The sequence below is a fragment of the Homo sapiens genome, chromosome 5, assembly GCF_000001405.40.
Source record: "Homo sapiens chromosome 5, GRCh38.p14 Primary Assembly".
In the NCBI taxonomy this organism is placed as follows: Eukaryota; Metazoa; Chordata; class Mammalia; order Primates; family Hominidae; genus Homo; species Homo sapiens.
In genome coordinates, this window is record NC_000005.10 from 117,508,610 (window position 1) to 117,523,968 (window position 15,359).

General features: G+C 34.0%; 1 long non-coding RNA gene across 1 annotated transcript in view; it reads left to right on the top strand.

Moving 5' to 3' along the window:
* The window catches only part of LINC00992 (long intergenic non-protein coding RNA 992), a 164,233-nt gene that overhangs the window by 93,098 nt on the left and 55,776 nt on the right, over window positions 1–15,359 (top strand). The window lies entirely within an intron of this gene.

Genomic DNA, 15,359 nt, shown 5'->3' on the forward strand with positions numbered 1-15,359 from the left:
TGCACTGGAATGGCTAAAATAAAAAAAAAAAAACTGAAAAATCTAAATGTTGGTGGCATTGTGGAGCAATTACAACTTTTATACCCAACTGATGAAAGTGTAAATTTGTACAATACACATGGCAGGACTTTTATAAAGCTACACATATGAAAACCCATGACCTAGAAATTCCCTTAGATTATACTCAATAAGAATGTTCACATATCCAAATGGACCTAACAGACACATAAAGAAATTTCCAGACAATATCAGCAGAATACACATTCTTCTCAATCTCATATGGCACATTCTCCAGGATAGATTACGTGTTATACCACAAGTCTTAAATATAAGATATTGTACCAAGTATCTTCACATATCAGTAACAGAAATAAAACAGAAAAATTTAAAAACATGTAGAAACTAAACAACACGCTCTTGAACAACAAAGAAGATGCACAAAGAGCATTTGACAAAATTCAACATTGCTTCATGAAAAAAACCTCCAAAAAGGTAGACATTTTATAAATGAAATTATAAAACCACTGGATAAATGATAAAATAAGAATATTTTAAAAAATGTGATTCTAAAATACAAATACAGCCTACCAAAACTTATGGGGTGCAGCAAAAGCAGTACTAAGAGGCAAGTTTATACTGCTAAGAACCTAGATTATTAAAGAGAAAAAAATCTAAATTTAAAACAACTAACTTTATACCTTAAAGAACTAGAAAAGCAACAAGTTAAACAAGGAAATATTGAAGATTAGAGCAAAAATAAATGAAATAGAGGCTGGAAAAGCAACCGAAAAAAACAATAAAACTAAGTGTAGTTTTAAAAAAAATAATAGTTTTTAAAAAAATAATATTGACAAACCATTAGATAGGCTATAAAGAAAAAAATTATTTAAAATCAGAAATAAAAAGATATTACAATGAATGACACAGAAATGAAAAGAATAAGAGAATATCATAAACAATCATATGCCAAAATATTAGGTAAACTTAAAAAATGACAAATTCCTGAAAACATACAACCTATGAAGACTAAATCAAGTAGAAACAGAAAGCCTGAATAGACCAAAACAAGCAAGGAGTTGAATCAGTAATCAAAATCCTCCCAACAAAGAAAATTCCAAGACCAGATAACTTCCCAGCTGAATTCCACCAAACATTCAAAGGATAATTAATATCAAACCTCCTTAAACACTTCCAACAAAATAGATAAAGAGTGAACATTTTCCAACTCATTTTATTAGAAAAGCATCATGCTGATTCTGAAGCCAGACAGAAACGACATACATAAAAACTGTTGGTCAATGCCCTTGATGAATAAAGATGCAAAAATCCTAGCAAACAAAATTCAATAGCACGTTAAAAGAATGAGGCATCATGTTTAACTGGGATTCATCCTTTGGATGCAAGTTGTTTCAACATGAGAAAATCAATCAATATGATACACCATAGTAACAGAATGAAAGACAAAAACCACATGATTATCTCAAAGATGCACAAAGAGCATTTGACAAAATTCAATATTGTTTCATGAAAAAAACCTCCCAAAAGGTAGACATTTTAATAAATGAAATTATAAAACATTAATAATTTTTTTAAAGATACAAATAAGTGAAAAGACATTTCATGTTCATGGATTGAGCACAATTAATATTGTCAAAATATCCACATTGGTCTTTCACAGGTTGCCAAGAACAGACAATAGAGGAAAGAATAGTCTCTTCAACAAATGGTGTTGGGACAACTGGATATCCCCATGCTAAAATATGAAATTGGACTCTATCTCACACCATACACAAAAGTCAACTCAAAATGCATTGAACACTTACATATAAAACTTGAAACTGTAGAATTCCTAAAACAAACAAAACAAATAGGATAAACTTTCTTGATATTAGTCTTGGTAATCACCATTTGGATATGACACCAAAAGCACAGGTAATAAAAGCAAAAGTAGACAAGTGGGATTACATTAAAAGTCTTCTGAATAGCAAAGGAAATGATCAACAAAATGAAAAGACAACATATTGAATATTTGCGAAAAGTATTTGCAAATAATATATCTAGTGAGGGATTAATATCCAAATATATAAGAACTCATACAACTTAATACCAACAGTACAAATAACCCAACTTAAACATGTGCAAAGGACCTACATAGGCTTCTTAAAAGAAGAAATTTAGATGGACAACTGGCATACTGAACGGTACTTAACATCTCTAATTATCATGGAAATGCAAACCAAATCCGTAATGAGATACCACCTCATAGCTGTTAGAATCACTATTACAAAACAGATAAATATATCAAGTGTTGGTGAGGATGCAGAGAAAAGGGAACCCTTGCATACTGTTGAGGGGAATGTAAATTAGTACACCATTTATGAAAAAAATATGAAACGTCCTCAAAAAATTATAAATAGAACTACCATATGATCCAGCAATTCCACTTCTGGGTATATCCAATGGAAGTAATGTCACTATCTGAAAGAGGTATCTGCATTTCCATGTTCGTTGCATCATTATTCACAATAGCCAAGGCATGGAAACATTCTAAATATCTTCTGATGGATGAATGCAGGAAAAAAAACACAAAACTCTGTGTGTGTGTGTGTGTGTGTGTGTGTGTGTGTGTGTGTTTGTGTGTGTATTATTCAGCCTTTAAAACGGGTGGAAATCCTTCCATTTGCAACAATAATTGGAGTGGGAGGACATTATGCTAAGCAGAAAAGGTAAGACACAGGAGGAAATACTGTACAATCTCTCTTATATGTGGAATCTAGCAGAGTATAGTCATAAAGAAGAAAGTAGAATTATGGTTTCCAGGTAAAGGGGTGGAGAGGAATAGACTGATATTGGCCAAAGGGTGTAAAGCTTTAGTTATGCAAGGTGAATAATTTCTGGAGATGTAATGCTGTGCATGGTGACAATAGTTAAAAATACTGTATTGTATACTTGAAATTTGTTAAGAGGATGCATCTTAAATTAAGTCTCACCACACACACACACACACACACACACACACACAAATGGTAACTATGCAGAGATGATAGGTATGTTAATTAGGTGGAATGTGGTGATCATTTTACAATGTATACATATATCAAAACAAAAAGTTGTACACTTTACACATACACCATTTTATATGTCAATTATACCCTAATAAGCCATTGAAAATGAATAAATATAAAAACAAACTCAAAAAAATGACGAGCACAAGAAAGACGTTTCTCAATTCTCTCTTTAAGGATTGAAGAGGACATTCTCACAACTCTACAGCTATTTTATCCTTTTATATTATTTGTCAGAAGTGTCTACATGCTTATTCTATTAAGGAAATGGTATTTTCTTAATTCCAGTTCAAGTAATAGGCCAGAATGGAGTAGTCTTCAACCTTTAAGCTATTTAACAATGCGGGGGGATAGAATAGATATTAGAGAATCACTTCCAACACCCAAGCCATTTTGCTGCTTTCTGGTGGACACTTTTAACTTGTGGCCCATACTTAAAGCCACATTTTTACATCTAGAAATTTCTCAGCACAAACCATATCACAGTTTACATCATAATGTAAAGCAGTGATTCTCAGTTCCTTCAGAACCAATGATCCCTTCAATGTCTTGAATGAACTCCACATTTCTTTATCTCACCTTCTCGGATCAGTTTAAAGTTTCAATATAACTTTCTAATAATTGAAGAAAAATAATTTATAGTAAAATAATGTTTTATTATTAAAACATATAGGAATAACTACATTAGTTGACATAATGAAGTAGCCAGATGCTTGACGGCATTTTATGATGAATAAAGTTGTTTTTAGGGGAATAAAAATAATAACCAATAGAATATTTTGACACCTTTTCTTTATACTTGACATTTTAATGTGAGGACTATATAAGCACATGACTATGCAAGCTATGATTGAAAATTGATACAGGTGACTTAAATGGTTATGGCAAGTTAAATACCATGAGTAGCAATGCCTTGAGCAAAGAGATCTTTGAAATGGTGAACAACTTTGGAAAAATTTCCAAAAAAAACAAATTGCAATCTTCTATTGACCTACCCAGTGTTATATTTCTGGAGAAATTAACATATATTAAAACTTACACAAATCCTTCTTTTTATATGGAAAGCAGAGTGTTAGACTTGAGGCTTGTAAAATTATTAACAGGTGGTTTTCTTTGATAATCTCTAGTGAAAATTTCAAAAGTCTCATAGCACACAAGTAATTTATGGCTAAAATAATCTCAATATTATTTAAGACACTATCCCTGGACACTACACTAAATGCCAGAAGTCACTCACAAACATTTTGATAATCAAAAATGCCCTCACAGATTTCTAAAATGTCCCTAGGGCCATTTGCAACAGGGTTGTAAAAAACACTCTAAAAATGAAATGAACTTAGATCTTTGAGTTAGAGAGTCTTGGTTTTAATTCCTTATCCTATCCCTCTTGGTTGTGTGGACTTGATAAAATTAATTCGAGGTCTTAATTTTCTTCTGTGAAATAGAAACTGTATCCCAGGATTTTTTTTTAATGATTAATGAGGTTACTAGGCACTGAATAGGTACTCCCAAGTAGTTACTTCTTATTTCTCTTCACTTCTGTTTTTCTTTCCATATTACTGTACATTATTCTTTCCAGCATATTTATTTCATAAGAGGCTATCACCAAGAGGGGAAATTATAAATCAAAAATATACTCTAATCCAGTATAGGAGAAGACATTGGCAACCATGTGGAAAAATATGGAAGGATAAAATTGATTGCACTTGTTTTTCTTAAAAAGAGATGGTTGAAGCAGTCAATTTGATAACTCCTATACCTAAATATAACTCTTTCTTTAGCTCTTAAACTAGTAAATAAATTAAACACTGTACTTGGAACAAAGGCCCAGGCCATGTAAATGGCACCTCTACACAGGACATAGATAATATCATTAGAGCAATATTTTTTGAAATAGCAATGTCCAAAAAAAAGGCTTGGATAAGTAACCACACAAACCCACCTCCTAGAAATACGTTGAAGTAGTTTTTAGTTTATGTGTGCAGTGAGTTAGGAAAGGAGCTATTAAGCCAATTTTGTCTTGTTAAAAATTCACAGATTTAAAGGGGTGCAAACCAGAATATAGCAATGCCAGTTTCTTCTACGTAAGTTGATTAGGAAATCTTGATTGATGGCCTAAAAATTACTAGGATTATTCTTTGGAAAAGCTATAAATATTTCTTCCATGTTCTCAAATGGCAAAAAGGTCTTTTATTTGCTATAGTTGAAGTAAGTCTTCTACGTGGATGGCTGCATACATTTGGAAATTTGAAGAACGTAAGCATAACACACGAAGGTTGCCAAAAAGCCCCATAACACTATTGCACTAAATATTAAAGTATTCACATGAGAGTTTCACAATTGTTTCCTCACTTCCTCCATTACTTTAAAATTAGGTAAGATGCTGTTTTAATAATTAATTTCTTGGAAACAAGATATATTAGTCCTAGATTTAATACAATGAAGCCACATTTAAGACTGGGTTATATTTCTAAGGCTAATATCATTGGTATGATAAAAATAACCCTCAAACATTTCTTGATCCTTATTGAAGGTGCTACAGTGAATACTGGCGCTTTGTTGCTCGTTTTTCCCCATGGGTTGGAATACAACCCTGCTTTTTTGATGGAGAGGTACGTGATCTACTTTTCTTGCAGCTAGGGTTTGTTTTGTGTGAAATATACACATCTTAAAATACTGAAATCATATTTAATCTGTAAGAGATGTTCATATAATGAAAGAAATTACAAACTGAGGCTCACTGGAGAAACAACAGATTTATGGTTTCTAGAAATAAATTTAAATAAATAAGTATAAAAGCTCTTTAAAAATAAAGATTATTGAATCCCACAAAATATATCCTCAATTAAAGGGAAGATGGTATTTTCATCTAAAGGAAGACTCACTGTCTTAAAGAGATCACTGTTCAAGCTCCAATAAGCATTGGTAAAAATTAATAAATTGGTTACAAAATTTATGTGAAGGTATAAATGTCCAAAATATCCCATATTAAAAACAAGGAAGGAGAAATTGATTTCTAGATATCAGCTCTTTTTCTAAAACTAGATAATTAAACTTATGCTATATTAAAACAGAAAAAGTGACAGATGACATAGAATTCAGAAACATATCCATGTATGTGATAAAATCATGGAATATGGGTAGATATTACAAAGAATGATTTTTGACAGTTATTTTCCTTCAGTATTTGATAAACATGTGCTGCATCCTTCTGGCCTGTATGGTTTCAGATGAAAAATCTGTTGTCATCCAAATTGTCAATCCTTTGTAGGTAATGCATAGATTTTTTCAAAGAAACAACATTATAGCAGTTTAAATGAATGAGATATATATCAGTTTGAATAGTTCTCAAGAACTCACTGTTGACATGAAAAACAATTCAACAGTGAAAAACTATATACATTTTAATAGAATTTACATACAGATAATACTTTTGAAACAAACTACATTGAGTGTGTGTATGCATATATCTAAAATTATTAAAGTGACTCAGAAATTTCCATACAGATTTTTTTTTTATTGTAGAAGCCCCTCTGGGTAGAAGAGAAACAATGGGATAGACAAAGGGAGAAAAATGTTGACTTTATTTGTAATGTTTGATTTGTTCTCTAAATCAGATTTGAGGAAAGTCTTATGATTCTTTTATTCTGAGCAGAGCACACAGGTATATATATTATTTTTAGGTTCCTATTTTTTTCTTGTAAATATCTAAAAAATGGAAGTTTCCACTTGTGCATATTCTCATTTCAAACTGATCTACTAATGGTAATTGTGATACATAATTAAAATATTAAACTTTATACCACCTATAAAATATGTTCTAGAGAACCTCAAGCAGTTCAACGGACATATTTGGGCAAATTTTTGTGCCAAAGATGTAGGAGCTGGGCTTTGGAATATACTACAGGTTATTCTGTTGGTCAAAATGTGGACATTTTTGCTGAGAGCAGAGAGGTGTAATTAACCGTGGCTCTCTCAGAACTATAATTCTGTCTCCAGGTGTCTAGAAAAGGTATGCTTAAAATTAAAAGGAGAAATCTTACGATAATAGGTAATTTACTCTCTTACTATAAATTACAGAATTAACCTCCAAATCTGTTTTTTCTCCACATAAACTACAGTAGGCAGTATTCTTTAAAAGTTATATTCTGTGAAGCAGTGAATTATAGGGTTTCTAAAACTACTAGCTATCATCATTTTTAGAAACATACAACTCTCTTCACTAATGCAACTGTACTTACCCAAAGTTAAAATATTATTTATTTAGGTGTTGAAAAATTTATATAGATGCTTCTTTGCCAACCCATATCATTTACAGACCTATGGTAATGTGGTGACATTTTGATTTAGGCATATAAAAATTTCCCTTTATTAGATATTTTAAATAAAGTAAAGAAAAACTTCTGGAAGAGAGTTTTATTTTTGAGGCTTCTGACAGTTGTAAATCTCAGCAACATTTACCTTGTAAATTTCCTATGCATATGAGGAGATATCATTTTTCAAGTGTAGAGGCTACAATACCCTCACAGTGAATGTATGATGCTTTGCACACATTAGATCTAGTTTACTTTGTAAAATAATCATGTCTTTTGACCTGTTATATTAACTTAATGTCAGGGACTTCTAAGTTCCCTACTGAGCTTTCCCTACTGAGCTTTTGCCTTTTTTTTTTTTTTTTTTTTTTTTTTTTTTTTTATCAAAGGATTAGAGAAAGATGTAAAAAGAGGAAGGAAATTGAGAAAACTTGCCTTATGGGGTAGCAAACAACGAATGAAAATAAAAAGAAAATATCTTACACTTCTATAGCTCTTAGAAGAAGGAGACACTGTTTTAAGTAATTTACAAAATGTTCCTTTATTTTCACGGCCACTCTCTGAGATGGACACATTATTACAGTATTCCCATTTTACAAATGAGGAATTAGATCACAAAGAAGTTTAGAAACTCGACCAAGATCACACAGCTCATATAGTAAACAAAGAAGCTGAGATTTGAACCCAGGCATTTTAACTCCAGAGTTCATATTTTTGGTTGCTACACCATATTGCTACTGAAAAGTAAACCAAGGCTGTAAAAAGGTGACTATGAAGAAACCCTAAATCAATATTGATGTAGTTAAGATAATTTGAAATATTTTTATAAACTCTTTTTCTTGCAAAAAATCTGCTGCTTCTACCTCTTATTGCCTATCTTAGTAAATGTGACCAATAATCATCTTTTAATACAGGCCAGAGAACATAGACTCATCCTAGATTTCTACTACTTTTACACTACCAAAGGACCAAATCTTACAGGTTTAGAATACGAATGATTCAAACAGCTATCATTTACTCAGCATCTGTGGTCATAAACTGTGCAAGTTACTTGATCTGTGATTCTTGTATCTCTCATTTCATGAACACAATTTTAGGTAGGTATTATTATCCCTACCTAAGATTCACAAAGTTGCATTAATTTGTTTAAATTACATTGTCAATAAGTGACTGAACTGGGGATTGGCCCACACTCTTTCAACTATACCATACTATATTGATTATTAAGTATCTCTGCTGTGTAACCCATCTTTTCCATCCCCATTGCCATACCCTTCAATCATCTCATCATCTCATCTTCATTAGTACAAAATGTTCTTTAACAGATTTTGCTGCTTTTAGTGTCAAAATTCTCATACTCTCATCCATCCATATCCTGTTGACTATTATCTAAAGGGCACATTTGATTATGCCACACCCTTGTGAACAATCACAACTGTTTATTACAAGATAAATACAGTTTCATACATTCATAAGGCACTTCTAAATGCCTCCTTCCCTCACTAGTTTCTTATTCGCCCAGACTATCTTCATCCTTTGCACACAGGCGCACACACACACACACACACACACACACACACACACACACACACCATGCTCCAGTAAAATTAAACATTGGAAAGGTCTCTTTTTTCTCTTGCTGCTTAAACAGAAGGAAAGGTCTCTGAATGCACATTAGTGTTTCATGTTTGTATACACTTATTTATTTAAATCCCCTTTGTTGTGATTGCCATAGTATTTTTTTCTTAATCCAACTACAAACTCAATTCATGTCTTGTTGCTTTATGCATTCTTTCCCACATTCTTCTTGCCCTTATCCCAGTCTGAGTTATATATCTCTCTCTGTGTTTGCATACTTTTTATAGGACTATGTTGTAATTGTTGATTTTATTTTCTTTATATATCACATACAACGTAAGAATTTTCAGGATATAATTTTAAAGAAGACTAGGAAATCATCAATTTTTTAAGATTTTAATGAAAGAACCAACAGCTACATTTCTGAAAGGGTTTAAGTCAAGTCAGTATGTAGGCAGTGATAAGGGCCATACTCTCACAATTCCAGCTTCGTAGCATGTAGTTAAGCTAATAAATATTTCCTAAGCAGGTCGGCAAATGAACACTGCTATAAAAGAATCTTACATGATTATTTGTTTCATTTTGAAAATATACTCTTTTTATCCAATGAAAATATGCATTAGACTGCTGAGAAGGATGTATTAGAATGCTAAGTGTGGGTAAACAATAATTTTGCCTTGTGTAAAGAAATATGTGGTTTAAAAAAGCAAATCTATTTATGTGCACTAGTCTGAATATCAAGCTCATAAGCTTAAATTAATTTGGTGCTCATGTTGATTCAGAAATCGTATTTAGTCATTCACTCAACAGATACGTATTGAACGTCCCAAATAGAGGAGGAGAGGAAAGGATAGCTCATTTGTGGACGAAAGATGTGACATACAACAATGCTAGTCCAGATAGGAGAGGAACTGAGTGGTGAAAATGCACTGTGGGCACTGAGAACAGTGAATAGGAAGCAGTGGGAAGCTGAAGGGGCGTGTGTGCCAATGTCTGAAGGTATGATTTTGCCCTGAGGGCACTGTAATCCATTTAAAAATCACAAATTGATTATAGTCTGAGAAATATTACTCTAGCACCATCATGAAGCTCAGATAGGAGAAGACCTATTGAGTAGGGTTGTTATGAAGTAAACTGTTGGTTGACAATAGGAGGACAAGATTGGAGGCTAGTCAAGCAGGCCTGGAGATGAAGCATATAAAAGTCAGTGACATGGGATAAGGAATGACCAGCAATGAACAAGATGAGGAAGTTCTCACAGAATTTGGTTTCTGATGATTACATTAGTTTCCTTTTGCTGCTGTGACAAATAATTACAAGCTTAGTGGCTTAAAATAATATAAATTTGTTATGTTACACTTCTGCAGATTAGACATCTGAAATCAGTTTCATTGAGATAAATCAAAGTGACAGCAAGGCTATGTTTCTTCTACAGACTCTAAGAATAATCTGTTTTCTTGCTTTTTCCAGTTTCTAGAGGTCACCTGCATGCCTTGGCCTGTAGATCCTTCCTCCATCTTTAAAGCTAGCAGCACAGTGCCTTCCAAACTCTTTCTCTGTGAACTCTGCTTCCTGACTTTGCCTCTCTCTCATAAGAATTCTGTGATTCCACTGGGCCCACCTTTATAATCCACGATAATCACTTCATCTCAAGATCCTTAACCTAATCCCTCATGCAATGTAAGATAATGTATTCTTAGGTTCCAGAGATTAGAATGTGACATTTGGTCAGGGAGAATTATTCTGTCTACCATGATGGTAAAGGAAAGGTTGAGTTGTAGATTGAAATTCACATATTTGTCTCAGAAGTTGGTAACAGTATTTACTGATACAGATAATGAAGGGAAAGAAGGGTGAAGTAAAAGGGAATGCATCTTTGTATGGCATTTTGAATTTGTGCTAACTCAATATGGGATATCATATAGCTGACCAAAAGAAAGGTGGCCATATGTACTAAAAGCTTAGCAGAGAGGATTTGTCAGGATGTATTGATTTCAGGGTCATCAATATTTAAATGAATGGTAGGAATCCCACTTCAGGTCACGAAGAAGTAACTGGTTCTGAACTTGCTCTCTTTCTGTCAGCTATAAAACTTGACAAATATATAAGGTGTTGATTTTCAGGCAATAAACAACAGGCATTAAAAAGTATAATTCTTTGGCATTGGAAATCTTACAAGATTTATCCACAGACAACTTTGCTCTTTGCTTGGGGACTAGCTCCTGACCAGAGTGCAAGGAGCTCTAACACTAGGTATGATGATCCCATTGAATGAAGTGGCAGAGATCAGAATTCAGAAATGGGCACCAGAGAGGAGGAGACTAAACAGATACAGTACTCAGGTATTTATGGGAGGTTTTTTTCTAAGTTGTTGACTGTAGGCTTGGGTGCACAAGTACAGAGTAAGACTGGTAGGCTTACCAGGGAGTAGCTGCTTCACAGTTGAGAGCTGAACAGAGATATTAATAGTGGTGAGAGACATTAGAGCTCCATTTCAGCCAAAGAGGAGAGAATTTTCTTAAAGTTGTGGATATCCATCTGAAGCAATAAAATGCCCACCTAAGGTGTAAGAAAAATGTCTTATAAAAGAGTCAGCAATTTTTCAGGGTATGGTGAGAGAGTAAACATTTTAAGCTTTGTAGGCCATGTGGTCTGTGTTATGGTTACTCAACTCTGCTCTGTAGAACAAAATAGTCATAGATGATACATTAACAAATGGATGAGACTTTGTTTCATTGAAACTGCACTTACGAAGTCAAGAGGCAGGCTTGATTTGGCACTATACAGGCTGTAGTTTGCCAGTCCATGTCCTGGAGTAAGGCCTAGTCGCAATCTAACAACCCCCCACCCCTAGAAAAAACAAACAAACAAACCCTGAACTCCCCCTAAAATCCCTGAAAACAAGCCGTGGTAAGATCCCATGAGAGAACCAGAGATTGAATCTGCAAAGTTAGAGAGAAAGGAGGACCTCTTGGGCTTGCCACAATTCTGCCTTATAAAAACATACAAACAAGCCTAAATAAGGTGATCAGCTTTTATATGAGCAAACTAAAGAAATAAAAATTAACATTCTCTAGAGGACAATAACGGAATGTAGATTCTTCACAATTCTTTCCTCATATGTTCACCATACAATAAAAAATACTAGATGATCAAAGAAATAGGAAAATGTGATCCATATCCATGGAAAAATGCAATTAATATAAAATAACCCTGACATCTCCCAGATGTCAGATATAACAGAATAAAGCATAATAACTGTTTTCTATGATGAAGTACTTAAGGAAGCCTTAATAAGTCTTAATATGTGAACAGACAGAAAACCTCAGCAGAAAAATGAAAATTATGAAAAGAAACCAAATGGAAATTCTAGATTTAAAATCACAATAAGTGGGCCAGGCACAGCTATAATCCAAGTGCTTTTGCAGGCCAAGGTGGGAGAATCGCATGAGCCCAGGAGTCTGAATCTGGCCTGAGCAACATAGTGAGACCCTGTCTCTACAAAAATAAAAATAAAAATAAATAGCCAGGCGTGGTGGCACACACCTGTAGTTCCAGCTACTGAAGAGGTTGAGGTGGGAGGATAGCCTGAGCCCAGGAGTTTGGAGCTGCAGAGAGCTATGATGTGCCACTGCACTCCAGCTTGGGTGGCAGAGCAAGACCCCGTCTCTAAAAATAAATAAATAATCACTGAAAAAGCACTTACCAGCATATTGGGAATGGCAGAAAAGAGACTCAGTATATTTGACAGATCATTAAAAATATCCAAAATGAAGGAATAAGAATAAAAATTCAAGAAAAATAAATCAAGTTACAGAGCTGTATGGCACAATATTGAGCAATCTAGCATTCACGTAAGTTTATACCCCAAAAGAGAAAATCATGAGAATATAATAGAACAAATATCGAAAAAAGAAATGGTTAAAATGTTCCCAGTTTAATAAAATGATTTGAGTTACTTACTTTCTGAGTTACTCTTACCTTCCTGTAAGAGAAATTCAAGCAAGATAAACAGATAGGAAACCGTGTTTGGGAACATTATAGTTGAACTTCTACATACCAAAGAAAAAGGAAAAATCTTTAAAGCAGCCAAAGAAAAAAGAAAACCAATGAAAAAAAGAAAAAAACACTGTAAAGAAAGGAACAATGAGATGCATGATGAATGACTTTATGTAAGAAATTAGAAGGCCTGAAGAAAAGGAAACATCTTTGAAGTGATGAAAGAATCAATTGAGAATTCCATACACATCAAAGTTATACTTCAATATTAACAGTAAAATAAAGACATTTTGAGATAAAAACTGGGAGAGTTACTTTCCAATAAATCTACCAGTCAAAGCTAGGCACAGTGGCACATGCCTGTAATCCCAGCAATTTGGGATGCCCAGGTGGGTGTTATCGCCTGAGGTTAGGAGTTTGAGAACAGCCTGGGCAACATGGGGAAACCTTGTCTCTACTAAAAATGCAAAAAATTAACTGAGCTTCATAGTGCATGCCTGTAATTCCAGCTAATCGGGAGACTAAGGAGAATTGCTTGAACCCAGGAGGTGGAGGTTGCAGTGAGCCGATATAGCACCACTGCACTCCAGCCTGGGTGACAGATCAAGACTTTGTCTCAAAATAACATAAAATAAAATAAAGTCTGCAAGTTAAGAAATGTTAAATGATGTGCTTCAGGATGAAGGATTTGATGTTTGTTGAAAATGTGACTATATCAGAAAGAATTTATACATAAATGGGTAAATATAAATTTTTTTCTTTTCATAACTTCCCTAAAATACAACTTATGTTAGAGCAACAAATATTTAATATTATAAATATGAAGATACAAAAACAATAGCACGAAGGTTCAGGAAATGGGCTAATGGAATTCTACCATTGTAAGGTTATTGCATTTGTCAAGTTGGAAGTGGGAAGTATAAAATGTGAAGGATACAATCTTGACTCTAAACAAACTTTAATGAATTAAGGACGTATAACTTTTAGCCTTAGACCAATGATGAGAAATGCTTTTAAAGAGATTCTTTTGGCAGATAGACCTGAATTTATCCTAATCATCCTCACCTTCTGGTATTCACACCATGATATAATTCCCTCCTCTCGACTGTAGACAAGACCTATTTTTTGTTTGTAACTGGCAGTATATGACAAACATGATGGTTTATCACTCCTGTGATTATGTTATAGTGTATAAGACTCCATCTTGCTCACAGACTTGCTCTTTCTATCCTGCTGGCTTTGATGAAGTAGGATCCATGTTGTGAACTGTCTCTGAACAGGGCCATATGGCAGGGAACTGCAAGTGTATTTGTTGGGAGAAAAGCTGAGTGTTGGAAGAGAAGCTGAGGCACGGCTTGCATGTCTGCTAGACTTGCTGGCTCCTTGTTTCTAGCACTCCCATTATCTCAAGCAGCCATGTTTCCCATTCACTTGATACACTGTTTCCTTTCAACCCCCACATCCTCACCACCTGTTTGTCTGTTTGAGCACTACTAAATAGTGTGGGCTCCCAGAGCTCGGGGACTTTGCAGTCTCCACACTCACGATAGCCCCCTGGTCCCACTTTCTCTCTCAAACTGTCTTTTTCTCATTCCTTTGACTCTGCTGGACTTCATAGCCCCCATGACCTGGTGTTGGGTCTGATCACACCAACAGTACTGGACTAGTCAAGGGTGGCTTCAAGTAAGAACCTGAAATCCTCAGACACAGCCATAAGAAAATGAATTCTGCCAACAACCTGAATGTGCTCAGAAGTGAATTCTTCCCTAGCCAAATCTTCATGTGAGTTTGCAGTTTGGCTGACATGGTGATTGCAGTCTTCTAGAATTTTGATCAGATGGCAGAGCTAAGCCACGCCTGGACTTCTGACGCATAGAAACAGTTTTAAAATCAATCATCATGTCATAAGTTTATCTATGTAACAAACCTGCATTTGTACCCCTGAACTGAAAAGTTAAAAAAAAAATTGATAACTTAGATAAAACTGACAAATTTGTTGAAAACTACAACTTAAAATTTGCACACGAATAATTGAAATCTGAATAGGTCTGTACCTAAAAATTAATTTGTAGTCATAGTAATTTCCAAAATGAAAATCATGGAAGGTTTATGTGGCAAATTCTACCATTTAAGGAAAAAATATGTCAACTTACATAAATTCCAAAACAAAAGAAGAGGAAATAATTTCTGACTTATTTACTGAAGCAGGTATAACTTAACACCAAAACCAGATAAAGATATTATAAGAAAGTGTAAGCCAATATCCTTTAAGAATATAGAAGCAAAAATGTGCCTTAAAATATTAGCGAATTTAAACCAGAACTGTATGAAGAGAAACTACATCATGGCTAAATGAGCATTTATCAACAATTCTAAAATCATCAATGAAAGTTATCGCATTATC